General features: G+C 37.9%; 1 annotated feature.

Annotated features, from left to right (window-relative positions):
* Positions 18127-18256: an enhancer, noted in NCBI's record as "active region_17192". NCBI's record gives its function as "activates an Ori minimal core promoter by ATAC-STARR-seq in GM12878 lymphoblastoid cells {active_cell/tissue: GM12878}" and the evidence as "EXISTENCE:reporter gene assay evidence [ECO:0000049][PMID:35858748]".

The following is an 18811-nucleotide window of genomic DNA, read 5'->3' on the forward strand; positions in this document are numbered from 1 at the left end:
AGAAAATACAACCACACCATTTCACTTATGAATGGCTATGGTAGCTTTCAGCAATAATGGCAATGTTGAGTAGTTGAAACAGAAACCATTTGGTCCAAAAGATCTAAAATATTTACTATATAGCCTTTGACAGAAAAAGTTTGTCAATTCCACACTAGAATGTCAATTCCATACTAGAATATCAACAGCAAGAATGCAGAGACATGCAGCTCTGTCAGTATAACTGTTCGCAATGATCAAAATATTCTAAATCTGTGCTATTGGATAGCCACACATGTGGCTATTTAAATTTAAATTAAATTAATTAGAATTAAATAAAATTACAAATTCAGTTCCTTAGTCTCATTAGGCACATTTCAAGTTTGCAATAGCTGCATAAATGGTCACAGGCTACCATATTGGGCAACAAAGGTCTAGCCTCACTTTACCCTTGCATTCTGAGTGCCTGGATCAGTGCATGGCAAATAATCAACAGGTATTCCCGAAAGAATGTTAAATGGGTATATGAATGAATCAGCCAAGAAGGAGAATGACGCTATTTTTTTATTCATATCTAAGTATTACAAGTATTTACATTTAATTAAATTCCAAATGATGCCACTATAATATGTAGACTTGCAAAGACATACACTGATTCCTATTTCCTAGTTATTCAGCATTGATCTGGGTCCTGCTATGAAGGGACTTTGCAAATGTAATTAAGGCTATGGATGTTAAGATAGGGAGATGATATGGTTTGGCTGTGTCCCCACCTAAAATCTCATCTTGAATTGTAATCCCCATAATCCCCATGTGTCAAGGGTGGGACCAGGTGGAGGTAATTGGATCATGGGGGCAGTTCCCCCAATGCTGTTCTGGTGACAGTGAGTGAGTCTCAGGAGATCTGATGGTTTTATAAGCATCTGGCATTTCCCTTGCTGGCACTCACTCCATCCTGCCACCCTGTGAAGAAGGTGCCTGCTTCTCCTTTGCCTTCCACCATGATTGTAAGTTTCCTGAGGCTTTCCCAGTAATGTGGAACTTTGAATCAATGAAACCTCTTTCCTTTATAAATTATGGATTCTTGGTTATTTCTTCATAGTAGTGTAAGAATAGATTAATACGGGAGATTATCCTGAAACAGCCATGTGAGCCCAATCTAATCACTTAAATCTTTAAAAGCAGAGACTTTTCTCTGGCTGGAGCTAGAAGAGGGATGTTGCAGAAGAGGAAGGCAGGAGACATGAGGCAGAAGGGGGAGGTCAGAGAAATTAAAAGCATGAAAAGGAGTTCTCAACCTCAACCCACCACTGCTGGTTTGAAAGGGTTCACAAGCCTTTCCAATGCACGTGGCTGCCAGGAGCTGAGAACAACCTCAGCCAACAACCAGTGAGGAAATTGGGACCTCAGTCCTATAACTGCATGGCACTGAATTCACCAGAATAAGCCTGAAAATGAATCCCACACTTACATCCTGTGAAAAAGGGTGTGGCTATGTTGTGAGACTCTAATCAGGGAAACAGTAAAGCCTCATTATACCTGAACTTCTGACCCATGGACACTAAGATAGCAAATGAATGTTAAGCTGCTATGTTTGTGGTAATGTGTCTTAGCCAAATTGCAGACATTAAAGACTCCAAAAATTAGGTTTTTACAGAATGATTATACATAAAACGTAAATATATTTGAGAGGAAAGTTCACCTCTGACATACCCTCCAGCTATTCCTTCTGAAGACATTTCAGGGAAAGGCAACTATTGAGCCCATGTGAGACAATCCTGCCTGGTACAAAAACATATCTTCAGGGCCTATGAGAAAGAGGAAAGTTGCAGTGCAGACCAAGGCAGAGGGAGCACAAAGGCACCAGAACACACCTCCTCCAAGTCTCCAAACCCTACCAAATCTGATGGTAATCAGGGCTTTGTAAAGAAAACCTCAAGACAGGTTGGACTGAAGAACCACTTTCTAAGGTGACACATACACCAAAAAAAAAAAATCACAAACCATGTCACCAAGTCCCCTTCTTATCTTTCATCTTACTTCCTCTGGAGTCATCAGTTTTCTTTCATATATCTCTTGAGAAATCCAGTAAATTATGTTTAACACACAATTATGTCATTTTCAAGGGAGGCCAAACAAATATACATCTGGCAAAATTATATGTACCAAAAACACTTGGCTTCTAGTAAATTATTTTCACATGCCATTAAGATAATGACATACATTTAGAAATATAAATTACTTTACTGATAATCTAGTAGCCCATAACCCTCTTCCAAGGGCACATACCTCCCTCCAGGACAATGTTAGACTTAGAAGCACCTTCTTTTGCTCTGTGTTCAGGGATTTTCCTATTACTCAACTCAACCTTTGGGTATTTCTTGATCCTCACATCTTTGTGGATATTCTCATGTAACTTTCAAAGGAATTGCTGAGTTTTTCCTATCAAATGCACCTATTAGTAATAAAAGTACAGAGACATTTATAAGGTCATTCCCAAAAAAGAAAACTGGCTATTGTACCTCTTACATGATGTATGTTGCAATTTCATATTTTTCTCTACTCTCTTTCAGTCCTTGTTCCTCGTCTTCTTGGCAGTAAACTTCAAACCAATACCATAGAGGGCATTTCTATGTTCTAAAGCTCTGTCTATCTGATACATAATCAAGCTGTTCTTATCTTTGTATCATATGAATTATCATGAATTAATGAATTATATGAATTATTATGCAATTATACAACCTTATAATATATTTAATCTGGTACCAATATTGGGACTATTTAGTCCTGTCACTGATGAGTGGCAAGGACTTCTTAAAAGATTAAAGTTAATTCCTTGCTGTTCCAGATAGAGTGATTTATAATATTTCTGATGGTTTTATTTTTCTCTATATTGTATTATAAGTTAATTCATATTTTTAATAAAATATAATGTTCCCATTTCCCATCTCTGAAGTATCTTTTAATGTTTTTGGACATTCTTGATTGGTTCATTTCCAAGCAAGAAAATAAGGAAGTAACTTACCAGAAAAAAAGAAAGTTCAATATACGTGGTCTTAATAATTACATATATAAAATCCAGTATGATTTAAATATCTGAGAATTATAACAATGTGATTGAAGTAGAACTTTTGTTGGTGAGAAGTGTTCATGTCATGATTTTAGTAATCAGATTATTGATAGGATTTATAAGAAAAACTATTCATGTCTATTCGAAAATCATTTTCCAAAGTATCTGCCACAGAACACTCACATGAGACATGTTAATGGGTGCTCCTCATGAAACGGAACTCACGGTTGGATAAATTTGATAAATTCTTCAGGCTATATTCTATTCTTGGAAAGTTGCAGTTGATATTAATGCATTAAATTCCAGAATAGTCTGTAAGGAAGAAAAACTCTTTCATTTAGTGAAATCCAGGGTTTTTCAAATTTATTTAACTAAAATCTTCTTCCCAAAGATCATCTACTAATAGCTCAGAGACATAGTCTTAAACAGGAATGTTCTACAAGAGTTATCTTGTGTAAACTTCTTTCTATACTCAGTTATATCCCAATTTCAAACTCTACAAAATAGTGAACATTTCCTATTACACACGTTCCACGGTGGGTAAATAAAAGTGTTCCCAAACTTAAAGCTCTTGGAAGATAAAGGGAAGGGTTTTCATCAGGAGGTATTTCATCCATCACTCTCATTCCAGTTCTCCGTGGTTCCCTTCTATGCACACAAAAACAAGTGGAGGGAGGTGCAGTGTTCACCAGCAGAAGAGAATTTTGCTCCTGTGAATGTATGAAAGAGGCTTGTAAGCTAAATATTGGTGGGTTTTGTACAAGCCCAAACCAAATAGGAACTTGTAAGGAAAGAAAACACAAAGAAAAGTCAGAGAGGAAAGGAAACACCAGATTTCCATGATTATTTTGAAGTTTAGACATGATAATGCATGTTAGCTCTTAGTAAAATGCATCCTGCATGCTATAGGCTAAAATTATTATTACTGCTATTATTTTCAGAGAAGAGTCTCTTTTTTTCTCATTCTCCAACCCATTTTTTTGGCCAAAGAAACCAAAAGCACGACTCTTTCTGGGAGATGATGTCTGATGCCAACTGCAACCTATATCTTGCACCCCTACTCCCATCTCCCAGGAAGTAGGAGTAACTTGCCTGATGCGGCCATGGATGGCCTTCATCAGGGCATGTTGCCCTAGTGGGCAGAATCACTGTGTCTCATGGGAGAACCTTCCCCTGCCAGTTCCCTCCGCCTGCCAGTGTTCAGGCATGGAGGAGCAGCTGCTTGGACCCCTCATTAGTTGTACTCTTGAGCTTCCTATTTCTGTTTAGTATAGAAACTGAACCATTGATCTCTTGTATTTTCTCTCTTGTGAGATAGACCCACAGCCCACATCCAAGTAGCTGGCTGGGTCCAGCTGCTGTCAATACAGAGAGGAGGGAGTAGGAGAATCTATGTAATTCTAAGGTCATAGCCATTTTCTCAATTCCAGTTTTTACCAGAAAGTTTCATAGTGTAGGGTGCTTTCAGCTGCATAGAACAAAATATCCAACAAAAACAACTTAAACAGTGGAGATCTGTTTGACTCACCTACAACAACAAAAGGCCATGGCAGCCCAAGGGTTAATTTGGGAATTCACTGCCAGCTGGGGACCAGCTGGACTTTCCTGAGCTTCCGTGGGCTTTGTCATTGAATTGTAAGGTTTCTGAGACAGCTTGAAGCATCACATCTACATCTTCACATGATGTTGTCCAAGAGCAGCAAGGCAAGGGTGAGGTCCTCCTTTAACGAGACCTCAGAAGACTTCTCCAATCCTCTGGCCAGGGCAGGTCGTACACTCATGCCGTAGCAACAGGAGAGCTTGGGAAATGTTGTATGCAGCATTTCTAGCTGCTGGAATGACGTGAGTCTTGTCCACCAGGAAGAAGGGAGATGAGAATGGTGGTGGGGTAAGCAGCCAAGAAAATCTACCTGGATGTATACATGGTCTAATAAATGTTGTACTACTTTACCAATTGTCTAGAGAATCTTAGAGTGAACCATCATCCAGGTCCCTGAAGGGAAGATTAAATAAGTGGTAGATTCTTAAACCCTTACATTAGAAAGGAGGAGAAAGGGGAAGTAAGTGTTTACAGGAAGCAGCAGAGGGGAAGATACACAAATGAAGAAAATGGTATCCGAGAGTGAAGGCAGATCCTAGAGCCTTCCTACTGGAGCCTATCAGTGCTCCACCCAGATTCCCTTTACTGGGCTGGTGCATCCACCTCCCAGCTGCAGTGAGTGTTGGTGACAGGGACTCCCAGCCACACCATTCCCTGGAAAATTGCCCTTAGCCGAAAGGGCCCCTTCTCAGGGGATCTGCAGTATGGGTGGTGGGCTGCAACCACTGATACAAGGGTACAAATCTGGCCTCTGCCTCAAAGTGGAAAAGTTTCATGGTACCATTCATAATCCAGACCCCCTGTGGGTCAGACTCAGGCTAGATGTCAGCTGAAACCCCATCTAGTGGTTTGCTTAGCATCTTCCCCTGCGCTCTCCTGCTTCCCTTCTTCACTCTCTTCCTTAAGGGCTTCTGCTGGGAACACCTTCATCATTTATTTGTACAAGAATCCTTATCTCAGATCCGGCTTCTAGGGGACCTGACCTAGGGCAGTCAGGAGTACCTAGCTAAGAAGTTTAAATTGTATTATATACACAATGGAGGAACTACGGAGGTTTTAGAGCGACTGTGTTTTAAGGTCATTAGTCTGACAACAGAGAGGCTGTAGAAAGAATTAAGGATAATAGATGCCCCACCATTATGAATTACCCACGTGAAAGACATGGTCTTAAAATTTTATATTTGGGGCAAGAAAAGAGAAAAAAGAAGGGAGAGAGAAGGCCAAAGTGTTAAAGATTCCTCCACTGTGATTCTATATAAATTTACCCAATAGAGCTGTAATGTTTCTCATTACAAAATCTCTGGCAAGAATCTCTGTAGCTATTATTTGCCAGAAGCCTATGGGTTAAAAGTTTGCTTTTGTGTCATGCAAATAGCCTTAAAGTACTATTTTTCCACCTCTTCTCATGACACTGACCACCCATATCTTCTAAGGATTAAACAAAATAAAAAAAGAATTTACCTTTAGCAAGAATGACTTAAGCTAGGTATAGATTTGTTTGTTTTAAGGCATGATCTAGACTTAGGAGCGAAGGAAAGCCCTTCTAGATTTTCTGACCCTGAAAATCCTTTAAACCAGACTATAAAAACACCTGTGTTTGATGGTTTAGGTGTTCATTAACATGAGTCCATGACCATACTCAGAGTTCCCTTGGAAATATCCTTTGATAGCTGATTCCAGACTAATTGACAGAGCTTAAAATTTTGGGGCCTAAGTCTATATCAAGCATAAAATATATGAAAAAGGAACATATACTTTTATCATATAAAATGTTTGCAGTGGATGGTAAATGGATGTTACTATTTAACATATAATATTTGTATTATATACAAATATATAATGTATTTGCTAGAAGTTGAGGGAAGAAAAAATGTGTTCCTGTTCAGAGGGGTTTCAAACAAATTTTACTATCATAAAAGTCTAAAAATAACAACAAATCTATTTTGCTTTATCCCTCCTTCCCACACTCCAGTGAAAACTATACCAATTTAGCAACAAAAGTTGAGTCTAGTATTCACATCAATAAATATTATAAACTATTTACAAAGGTAGCTATCTACCTGGGTAACTTTCAAACCTAAGGACCTAAGAACAAGCCCTGAATGAAAGGAACAACAACAAAAAAACACGTACTTACTGGATTCAGCCAGGTAGTCCTGGAGTGTGATATTTAAAGTAAAAAGTGCTGGGAGAGGTGCCTTACGCCTGTAGTCCCAGCACTTTGGGAGGCTGAGGCGGGTGGATCAGTTGAGGTCAGGAGTTTGAGACCAGCCTGGCCAATATGGTGAAACCCATCTCTACAAAAAATACAAAAGTTAGCTGGGTGTGGTGGCAGGTGCCTGTAATCCCAGCTACTCAGGAGATTGAGGCAGGAGAATCGCTTGAATCAGGGAGGTGGAGGTTGCAGTGAACTGAGATCTTGCCATTGCACTCCAGCCTGGGGGACAAGAGTGAGACTCCGTCTCAAAAAAAAAAAAAAAGTAAAAGTAAAAAGGCAAGTACTTGCAGTTTCAATCCCTAGACAAAATTTTACTAAGCCCCTAATATGTTCATCCTCTTAATTTGTTAGTGTGGGCTTATGTTATAGCAAAGATTTACACATCGTAAGTACTTAAGTGTTTATTCACCAGTTTTAAAACATTACACATAAACTACAAGGAGTGTTGTTTTTCAAATCTAACAATACCATGCTACAAAGCATAAGAAGTTTTTAATGACTCCAAATACCCTAGAACTTCTAATCTTGTAATATACATTGGCAAAGCGAGTTCTTCATTCATCCATTTATTGCACGTGTATTTTTTGAGCAACTATATTTCTTAGGCACTAGAGATGGAGCAGTAAGCAAAGAAGACAAAAATTCCTGCCTTCATAAAGATCGCATTATGGTAAGAGAGACAGACATCAATCAAAATAAATAAGAAATACATATATATAGGCAACAAATAATATTAGTATAAATATTAATGCAGGGAAAAAAGTAGGTTAAAGCTGGGATTTGGAGAGGGGAACTAGCAATTTCATATTTGAATAAGGCCATCAGAAGTAACTCAGGAATGGAAAACCAAACATCATATGTTCTCACTCATAAGTGGGAGCTAAGCTATGAGGATGCAAATGCATAAGAATGATACAATTGACTTTGAGAACTTTGGTGAAAGTGGGGGAGGGGTGAAGGATAAAAGACTGTGTATTGGGTACCGTGTATACTGCTCAGGTAATGGGTGCACCAAAATCCCACAAATCACCACTAAAGAATTTATGTAACCAAATACCACCTGTTAAAATGAAATAAATAAATAGATAACTTAATTAGGAAAATTCGGTCTTCTCAAATGAAATACCTAAAGAAGGTAAAGGAGTGAATCAAACAAATCTGGGGGAAGTAATTATCCTAGCAGAAGAACTGCAAGTGGGAAGGAGAATGCACGAAGGCTCAAAGCAGAACCAGCATAACCACTCTGGCCTTAGTCAGTGAAAAATGTAGTAACAAAAAATTAGAGAGATAATAGGGCCAAGATCTGGTCTGGCCTTTTCAGGAACTTTGATTGTTACTTGAGTCATTAGAAGCCATTGCAGACTTTTGAACAGGTTCATAACCCATCTGTTATTTTAACAGGATAAATCTGCTTACTTTAATAGAAAAACCAGTGAGGTTTAAAAAAAGAGGTCTATGGTTTTTGCTATAATTGAATAAAAAGGTGACAGCAACTTTGACTAGGGTAGTGGCTATGGAGGTAAAAAGAGATAATGATATGCTATCAAATTTGAATGTAAAGTCAAAACTATGTTGCGGGAAGTCAGGGACCCCATGTGGAGGGACCAGCTGGAGCCGAGGCAGAGGAACATAAATTGTGAAGATTTCATGGACATGTATCAGTTCCCAAATAATACTTTTATAATTTCTTATGCAGTCTTTACTTTAACCTCTTAATCCTGTTATCTTCGTAAGCTGAGGATGTACGTCACCTCAGGACCACTATGGTAATTGTGTCAACTGTATAAATGATTGTAAAACATGTGTGTTTGCACAATATGAAATCAGTGCACCTTGAAAAAGAACAGAATAACAGCAATTTTTAGGGAACAAGGGAAGACAACCATAAGGTCTGAGTGCCTGTGGGGTTGGGCAAAAAGAGCCATATTTTTCTTCTTGCAGAGAGCCTATAAACAGCCATGCAAGTAGGAGAGATATTGCTAAATTCTTTTCCTAGCAAGGAATATTAATACCCTGGGAAAGGAATGCATTCCTGGGGGGAGGTCTATAAACAGCCGCTCTGGGAATGTCTGTCTTATGCAGTTGGGATAAGGACTGAGATATGCCCTGGTCTCCTGCAGTACCCTCAGTCTTAGTAGGGTGGGGAAAATCTCTGCCCTGGTAAGTTTGTGGTCAGACTGGTTCTCTGCTCTCAAACCCTGTTTTCTGTTGTTTAAGATGTTTATCAAGACAATACATGCACTGCTGAACATAGACCCTTATCAGTAGTTCTGCTTTTGCCCTTTTCCTTGTGATCTTTGTTGGACCCTTACCAGTAGTTGTGCTTTTGCCCTTTGCCTTGTGATCTTTGTTAAACCCTTATTAGTAGTTCTGCTTTTTGCCCTTTGAAGTATGTGATCTTTGTACCTACTCCCTGTTCTTACATCCCTTCCCCTTAATAAAAACTTGCTGGTCTAAGACTCGGGTAGGCATCACAGTCCTACTGATATGTGATGTCACCCCCGGTGACCCAGCTGTAAAATTCCCCTCTTTGTACTGTCTCTCGTTATTTCTTAGCTGGCCGACATTTATGGAAAATAGAAAGAACCTATGTTGAAATGTTGGGGTTGGGTTCCCCCCAATCAAACTACGAGATTCATTTTTTTTTTTTTTTTTTTGAGACAGAGTTTCGCTCTTGTTGCCCAGGCTGCAGCGCAATGGCATGATCTTGGCTCACTGCAACCTCCACCTCCTGTGTTCAAGCGATTCTCCTGCCTCAGTCTCCCAAGTAGCTAGGATTACAGGCATGTGCCACCATGCCCAGCTAATTTTGTATTTTTAGTAGAGATGGGGTTTCTCCATGTTAGTCAGGCTGGTCTTAAAATCCCGGCCTCAGGTGATCCACCCTCCTTGGCCTCCCAAAGTGCTGGGATTACAGACATCAGCCACCGTACCCGGCCCCAAAACTATGAGATTCTAATACATTTGACGGTAGTGCTGACTAGCTGTAGAGAGGGAAAGAAGTAGTGAGGGATAATGCCTGAACATCCAGGAGGTAAGGTTTTCCACATGAGCTTTGTAAGGATGGAGTTGCCATTAACTAGGATAGGGATGACCATTGAAGGAGCAAATTTAGAGTGGATATGAAGAATTCAGTTTTGGACACTGTATGACTTTGCTAGGGCTGCCAGTACAAAGTACCACAAATAGAGTGGCTTAAACAACAGAAATTTTGCCTTATAGTTCTGAAGCCTGTAAGTCCAAAGTCAAGGTGTCAGCAGGGTTATTTTCTTCCAAGGACCATGAGGGAAAGACCTGTTCCAGATCTCTTGCTTCGGTTTGTAGACAGCCATATTTTCTTACATTTCTTGATATGGTCTTCCCTTCTTGCATATCTCTATGTCCACATTTCTTTTATAAGGACACCAGTCATATGGGATTAGGGCGATCCCTAATGACCTCATTTCAGCTTGATTACTTCTTCAAAGACACATTCTCTGAATAGGGCCACATTCTGAGGTTCTAGGGGTTAGGACTTCAGCATATGAATTTGAAGGGACACAATTCAACCTGTTACTGGCATGGAAAGAAGTTGACAAAATGCTATGCTATCTGTGTCCACTGCAGGCTGAAGATGATTCTGAAGCCATAATATCAATTCTGGAAACAGAGTGTCCACAATGATGTTAAAATGCATTTCTTAAAGACAGAACTCATCATTCTTTTTGCTTGCTTCATTGGTCTTTAAATTCCACACACCAAATAGCATCATGTCTTGCAAATAGTGGAAAATATTATCTAGGAATTTTTAAAGCTGCAATTCACAGAAAACCTTGCTAACAGAAGCTTTTTTAATAAGGGCAGTTAATCTTCCCTAACAAGATGTATGAAGTCAGGCAGCATAGGATTGAAGAATTCAACCACACAGGCATGTCACCATAGACACTGGGATGTTCATATTTCACTTCTGCCATTCAGTGTGGCTGCCATCCTCTGGCTGTCTCCTTATCGCTCCTAGATGCCTGCTACAGCTCCTGCTGCTATATGCTCATATGATCATAGCCACAGAGAAGAAAGAGAGTGAAACGGTTTGGCTGTATCTCCACCCAAATCTCACCTTGAGTTATAATAATCCCCACATGTCAATGTGGGATAATGATAATTGAATCATGGGGATGGTTCCCCCATACTGTTCTCGTGATGGTGAATAAGTCTCATGAGGTCTAATGGTTTTCTGAATGGGAATTCCCCTACACAAGCTCTCTTGCCTGCCACCATATAAGATGTCCCTTTGCTCTTCCTTTGTCTTCCACCATGATTGTGAGACCTCCCCAGCCATGTGGAACTGTGAGTCCATTAAACCTCTTTCCTTTATAAATTACCCAGTCTCAGATATATCTTTATTAGCAACATGAGAACGGGTTAATAAGAGAGTCACTCCTAAGAATTCCTTCTCACCATGGTGCCAAACCTTTTCTAGAAGCTTCACATCCTCCCACTCTTGTAGCCTTCTTTTTGGGGAGTCAGAATTCACTCATATGCCCTAATTTCAAGGAAAATGAGGAATTGAGTATCTTGTCATTTCCATCTTTAACAAGGGCGAGAGATTCTGCTCTCAACTCACAAGAGATGGAAAGGACAGTTTTTTCTACAGTAAATTCTCCATAAATGCTTAATGGGCAGATGATATGTAATCATGGTGATAGAAAGTCAGTGATATCAGTGATTACCATTTTCTTAGAGCTAACTCTAGACTCCATGAAATATCTCTTTGTTTAATATCAGATATTTGACATTATAATTTCCAATCATAGAACAGATAGCATAAGCTCTACCTCCAATATACTTTAGTTAGGTTCTCCATTTAGAGTTGCTGGAAAAAACAGCATAGGCAGAAAATCAGGAATGAGGTGAGACATCATACAACAAATTTAAAAAATGTCAACAGGCATGAGTACCATGCTTTTTCCAATTACTGCCAGTCAAAAGGCCATTTCTAATTAATAGTCACCTTTGGCTTTGCACTGTTAACAATTTAATTGTCTAATATGTGTACTATTCCTTTTCTCACTGGAAACAAAAATCTCATAGCATCTCGGTTAGGGTGATTTTGCCAAATCTGGAGACAGTTTTGGCCGTTGCAATTCAGGGATAAGGAGCACTATTGGTATCTGGTGGATATAGGCCAAGGATACTAATAAACATCCTTCAAAGTATGTGATACTTCCTTCAGCCTCTGAACCATAAGGTCAATAGGGCTGAGATTGAGAAACTCTATTTCACAGTAATCTTCAAAATTCATCATTTAACATGATAGGCATTTGGATTTTGTCAATTGTTAAAATTAAAGACTTAGCTGTGAATAGCCGCTAATGTCTTTTTAAACATTTCATTAATGTGAACTATTCAGGCTGAACAGATTTCTTTATGCACGGAAATTTCAGTACTCCCCAAGAATGTAGAGACCTTCTACCTCACTCAGTTCTAAGTTGACTGTAGGTGTACTGGAAATATTTGCTGAGAAGAATTGAAATTAGTTTGATTTCAGGCTAATAAAATTATCTTTGGCCCCTTGCAAATATCTCTGCTACTGGCTCAACTTAGTTGAAAGGGATTGAACTGAATGCAAAATTATGTTGTGAGATTCTAACAGAAGTGCTTTTTAAAAAACTGTTAAATGATTACAAATGACACATTCATTTCAGTTTCCATAGAACATCTGAGAAAGATAACAAAGTAGTTTCAAGCAATTCCCACCAACAATTTGAGGAAATTAGAAAAGATGCCGGAAAGCCACACAGCAGCAGAGAAAAATGAAATGCATGGCTTCCCTAAAAGACCAGGAAAGGGAAAGTGCTGTGTTCTCTTGCTGTTCTGAAGGCCCTTTCAGTGATCAGCCCTTTATTCTATAAATTCCATGGAAATAGTATTTAGACTTCTCATTCTGACCAAGTGCCTGGTGTTTTTCAATTTCCAGCAGAGGGTGATAAGAAGGATACTTGTTGTGTGAGTAGGTGTTCTGTGTTACACTTTCTGGTAATTTGCTTGATTTGTTTGCAATTTTCTTAAAATGTGAAAGAAAAGGGTGGGGGAGATAAGAGTAAGGTTTTTCTCCACTATGTTCAAGTGTTTGGCCAGAAGCTCCCCTGAGATTTTGTGATAGCTCATTTATAATATGGTGCAATTGGATCATCATTATACTTACATACCATCTGTTCACTTCTCTTTTTTACCCACTGATTTCAGTTTTAACTATTTTCATCTGAAGTGATACACATTTGCTAAGAAAATCCCAAGCATATTGGTGTAGGAGGACTTCTGGACAAGTGGCTTTCAGAGTATTGGAAGACAGAATTTCATTTAGCACACATTTATCTATTTCATTTAGAGCTGATTTTTTTTTAAGTCCCTGTATTTGGGAAGTTCATTAACTGCACATTTCACAGTTTTGCTGTTCTTTTCTCTTTAAGGATGCTATTTGGATTCAGGCACACATTCAGGAGAGTTGGAATGGAGCCAGTTTGTGAAATTTGGTATCTGAATTTCTAATCAACGTAGATTATGAATTCTACTTCACACATTACTTTCTGTCCCCGATACACATATGTTGCATTGCCAAGCCCGTGTGCTACAGACTGATCCTTCTCAACCAAATTTTAAATACAAAGATAAGCTAGGATGTATTCCTTCATGGTCATGCCTTCTGGTGCAAATCCTTTCTCCCACCCCCACAAGAAAGTCATTGGTGCCGCTGTATTTTTCAGAGAAGTTAGTATTTTTTTCCTCTTGCAATCAATAATAGTAAAGTTGAAGAACTCCAGTATTAAGCATTACATCAGATGTGTTACCTGGCCATTAATCAAATAATAAACATGATAGTGATTTATACAATATATTGGGGCTTCTACATGGTTGGTATTATGCTAAGCAGTTCACATGCATTCTCTAATTTGTTCATACAAGAACTTTAGGAGGTGGCTAATAGTATTTTCATCATTTATTTCAAAGAAGAATATTGAGATTTAGTGATAGTAAATCACCAAGATTTCACAGCTAGTAAATCTTGGCACAAGAGTCAAAACCAGACTTTTCTAACCTCAAAGCCATACTCCTAACAAGTAACTAAATTCTAATTATCTCACATGATGCAAGGTTTTCTATCAGTAGCAATAATGCTGTCACTGTCTCAAGGAATTTGCACCACAAGAGGAGACTAACTTGGTCTCTCTCTTTCCCATAACCAAGAAGAACAAGCATAACAACTCCCCTAAAGTAAAAGAAAGCAAAATAGTAAAAAGGAAAGTCCTTCAGTGAAAAACTGACCTTAAAAAATTAGATGTTGAGTCACATATGTAAGTGAAAACAACTGAACTCAAAATGCTGAGGTTGTGGGTTCCTCTTCAGAAAAACTACTTGGTCCTTCAATGGATTCTAAAATTCTATGTATATATTTTTACCTAAAGCTATCAGTTAAATCAGAATTAAAAGTTATTAGATGCCTGTAATCCCAGCACTTTAGGAGGCCAAGGTGGGAGGATCATCTGAGGTCAAGTGTTCAAGACCAGCCTGGCCAACACGGCAAAACCCTGTCTCTACTAAAAATACAAAAATTAGTTGAGTGTGGTTGCAGGTGCCTGTAATCCCAGCTACTCAGGAGGCTGAGCCATGAGAATCACTTGAACCCAGGAGTTGGAGGAAAAAAAAGTTATTGGACATTAGTGTGTTTCTGTATACTAACAATGAATAATCTGAGAAGAAAATTAAGAAAACAATTCCATTTAAAATAGATTCAAAATGAATAAAGTACTTAGTAATAAATTTAATTAAAGAGATAAAAAAATTGTATACTGAAAACTACAAAAAATTTCTGAAGGAAATTAAGGAATACATAAATAGTGGAAAGATGTCCAATGTTCGTGGATTGGAAGACTTAATATTGCTAAGATGTGAATACTACCCAAAGCCATCTACAGATTTAATTAATACCAATTAAAATCCTAATGACATTTTTTGCAAAAATGGAAAACTTCATCACAAAGTTCATATGGAATCTCAAGGAACCTCAAATTTCCAAAACAATCTTGAAAAAGAACAAAGTTGATGATTTTACAACTTACTACAAAGTTGTAATTATCAAAACAGTGTGGTACTGGCATAAAGGTGGACATATAGACCAATGCAATAGAATAGAGAGCCTAGAAATAAACTCTCATGTACAGTCAAATAATTTTTGACAAGGGTGCCAAGACAAGTCAATAGGAAGAGAACATTCTTTTCAAAAATAATAGTGTTGGGAAAACTGTATATCCACATGGGAATAAATGAAATTGGACCCTTAACTTACAATATATACAAAAATTAATCCTAAAGGCATCAAAGAGTTAAATGTAAGAGCTAAAACTATAAAACTCTTAGAAAAAAACAGAAGGAGATCTTCACAACACTGGATTTGAAAATAATTTCTTGTATTTGACACCAAAGCATAGGCAACAAAAGTAAAGATCAATAAATTGGACAACACTAAAATGTGAAAACTATTGTATATCAAAATACACAATCAACAGAGTGAAAAGGCAACCTACGGAGTGGTAAATATTTGTAAATCCTATACCTGATATGTGATTAATACCCAAAATTTACAAAGAACTCCTACAACTCAACAACAAAAATCTGATTTAAAAATGGGTAAATGTCTTGAATAGACATTTCTCCAAAGAAGATAAACGAATGTCCAATAAGTATATGAAAAGATGCTCATCATCACAAACCATTATGGAAACACAAATCAAAATCACAATGAGATATGACTTCACATCCATTATTATGACTACTGCCAAAAACAAAACCACTATCACAACAAAATAACAGAAAATAATAAGTATTGGTAAGGATGTGGAGAGGTTAAAATTTTGTGCACTATTGGTGGGAATTTAAAACGTGCAGTTGCTATGGAAAGCAGTATGGTAGTTTCACAAAAAATTAAAAATAGAATGACCATAAGATTCAGCAATTCCTTTCTGGGTATATATTCAAAAATTGAAAACAAGGTCTTAAAGATAAATTTGTACACTCATATTCATAGCTGAATTATTCACAATATCCAAAGGGTAGAGGCAACACAAGTGTCCACCAATGGATGAATGAATAAAGACAAGATGGTTTATACATACTGTACAATTAAATATTTTTAAGACACAAAAAGGAAGAACATTCTGACAAATGCTACAAAATAAATGAACCCTGGAAGTATTACGCCAAGTGAAAGAAGACAGTCACAAAAAGACAAAAACTGTATAATTCCACTTATATGCTATATCTAGAGTAGTCAAACTCATAGAAACACAAAGTGGAATGGTGGTTGCCAGGGGCTAGAGACATAGAAAAAAGGGTGTTGCTGCTTAATGTGTATAGAACTTCAATTTTGCAAAATGAAAAGCTTCTGGAGTTTGGTTGCACAACAATGTGAATACATTTAATACTGCTGAACTGTAGACTTAGAGAGGTGAGGCCGGGTTCGGTGGCTCATGCCTGTAATCCCAGCACTTCGGGAGGGTGAGGCAGGCGGATGATGAGGTCAGGAGATCGAGATCAGCCTGGCCAATATGGTGAAACCCCATCTCTACTAAAAATACAGAAATTAGCCGCACGTGGTGGTGCACACCTGTAGTCCCAGCTACCCAGGAGGCTGAGGGAGAAGAATTGCTTGAACCTGGGAGGCAGAGGTTGCATTGAGCCGAGATCATGCCACTGCACTCCAGCCTGGGCAACAGAGAGAGACTCCATCTCAAAAAAAAAATAAATAAATAAAAAAAGAGTTGAGATGGTAAATATTGTGTTATGTGCATTTTTTTCACTCATGTGATTTGTGAAGACTGCATATAATTATGACCCTTTCATCATTGGAAGGATAATTTAAAATAGTTTCAATACTTTATAAAATACAGCAAGAAAAAAAAGAGAGTTGAGATGGTAAATATTGTGCTATGTGCATTTTTTTCACATTTGGAGTTGATAAAGTACTACCCAGCTGAAAAAACTAAATAAAAATGCCCCACAATGATGGAGATACATCAGAGTGATACAAGTGCCAACTAAGAGTTCAAATTGAAACAATTGGAGCAACAAACAAGCAAAGTAGTATTGGTCTCTAATCCAAAGTACAAAATAAATATTCATGAGTCCATTGTGAAGACAGAATATCTACATAAATTATTTGAAGTTCTTCTGCACAGATTTGTCTATTCTCCTTTATTCATTCATTCATTGTTGATTAATTGTTGTTGTTGTTGTTGTTGTTGTTAAAGACCTTGACCGTTTTGAGGCATATTGGTCAGATATTTTGTAGAAGAACCTTCAACTGATATTGCTAATATTTGTCTCATCATTAGGTTGGGGTATCAGGTTTAGGAGAGAAAAATCACAAACGTAATGTGTGATTCTCATTATATCATATGACGGGTACATACTATTAACATGACTTATCACTGTTGGTGTTGACCTTGATCTTCTGGTTTAGGTAGTGTTTTTCAGGTTTCTTCACTTTAAAATTACTCTTTACATGTAAGGACATTCTGCAAAATACCTCACCAGTGCTCCTCAAAACTGTCAAGGTCATCAAAAACAAGTTAATCCTGAGAAACTCTCACAGTCAAAACGAACCTAAGGGGATATGCTGGCTAAATCCAGTGTGGTATCTTGGAGGGAATCTTGGGACAGATGAAGGACATTAAGTAAAAACTAAGAAAATCTATATAAACTATAGACTTTAGTTAGTAGTAATGTATCAATATTAATTAATTAATTGTGACAAAGATTCCATAATATTGTAGGGGTATTTATAGTGGGGGAAACTGGATGTGGTATGTACTGGAACTCTCTGTACAACCTATACAAAAATTCTGTAAGTCTAAAACTGTTCTAAAATGAAGTTTATTTTAAAAGATAAAAAAAATGTTGTGATTTAAGTGTGAGGCTAAGGCAAACATTGTTGTGCTTAAGTAATACTCATCAACTCAAGCCGTCTCGCACAACATTTTGCCTACCCATCTGCCACAAGATTCAGATTGAAGGACCTTTGATGGAGGGGAAAAAAAGGCAGTAAATTAAATGAGACTTCATATTTGAAAGGAAATAACAAAGCTAAAAATTAAATAATATACATTTAATGACAATGGTAGAAGAATGATTATGAATATGTTTAAGTCACCTTTGCACACGTGTCAAAACCTTTCTGAGTTTATGAGTAAGGGATAGAAAAGAGATTACCATTCCTACCGTATAGAGCTGTTCAGTGAAAATCAGCATGTTCAGCAGCCTTTACACATGATTTCAGTTTCAACAAGGAAGTTAAGCAAAAGTCGAGTGTGAGCATTGTGGCTTTGGACAACCTGTGTAGTTAGAATTCTGAAAAATTGGCTGAAGCATTCATTTCCTTTATCTAGCAAACCTTCACAACAACCCACAGTACACCTGCTTTCTATAAACTGTAAGGTGATGGGGTTTTGCATCAGGTTATCAACCACCTCCACCATTTAGTTATCACTCTTTAGTAATCCAAAGTGATGTCAAACACACTAACTACCACCAGAACAATTTCAGTTCAGCTAATAGCCTCTCAGTTTGCAAAAGCCATAAAGACTGTATCCATTGGCATTTCTCTTCTCCCCATCTCAAGAAACAGTGGCTTTCCCATTTGCCTGGCAGCTTGCCAAAGAAACAGGCAGTTAGTTAACACAGAGCTGTCAATAATCCATGGTAGCTAGACTTTATAAAGTAATCAGGAGGGGATATCATTTAATCAAGGTCTTCGAAATATGGAGAAGCAATTGGGATTGCTAATCAGGTAATTGCAGGGGAGAATTGCTCAGAAATAATTTGTATTGAACTGATGGAACAGCAAGTCCAGGCTACAATGGGGAGCAGGAATTTTTATGCTAGTGTCATCCTTACTATAATTGGTAATCTT

The sequence above is a fragment of the Homo sapiens genome, chromosome 2, assembly GCF_000001405.40.
Source record: "Homo sapiens chromosome 2, GRCh38.p14 Primary Assembly".
Taxonomy (NCBI): Eukaryota; Metazoa; Chordata; class Mammalia; order Primates; family Hominidae; genus Homo; species Homo sapiens.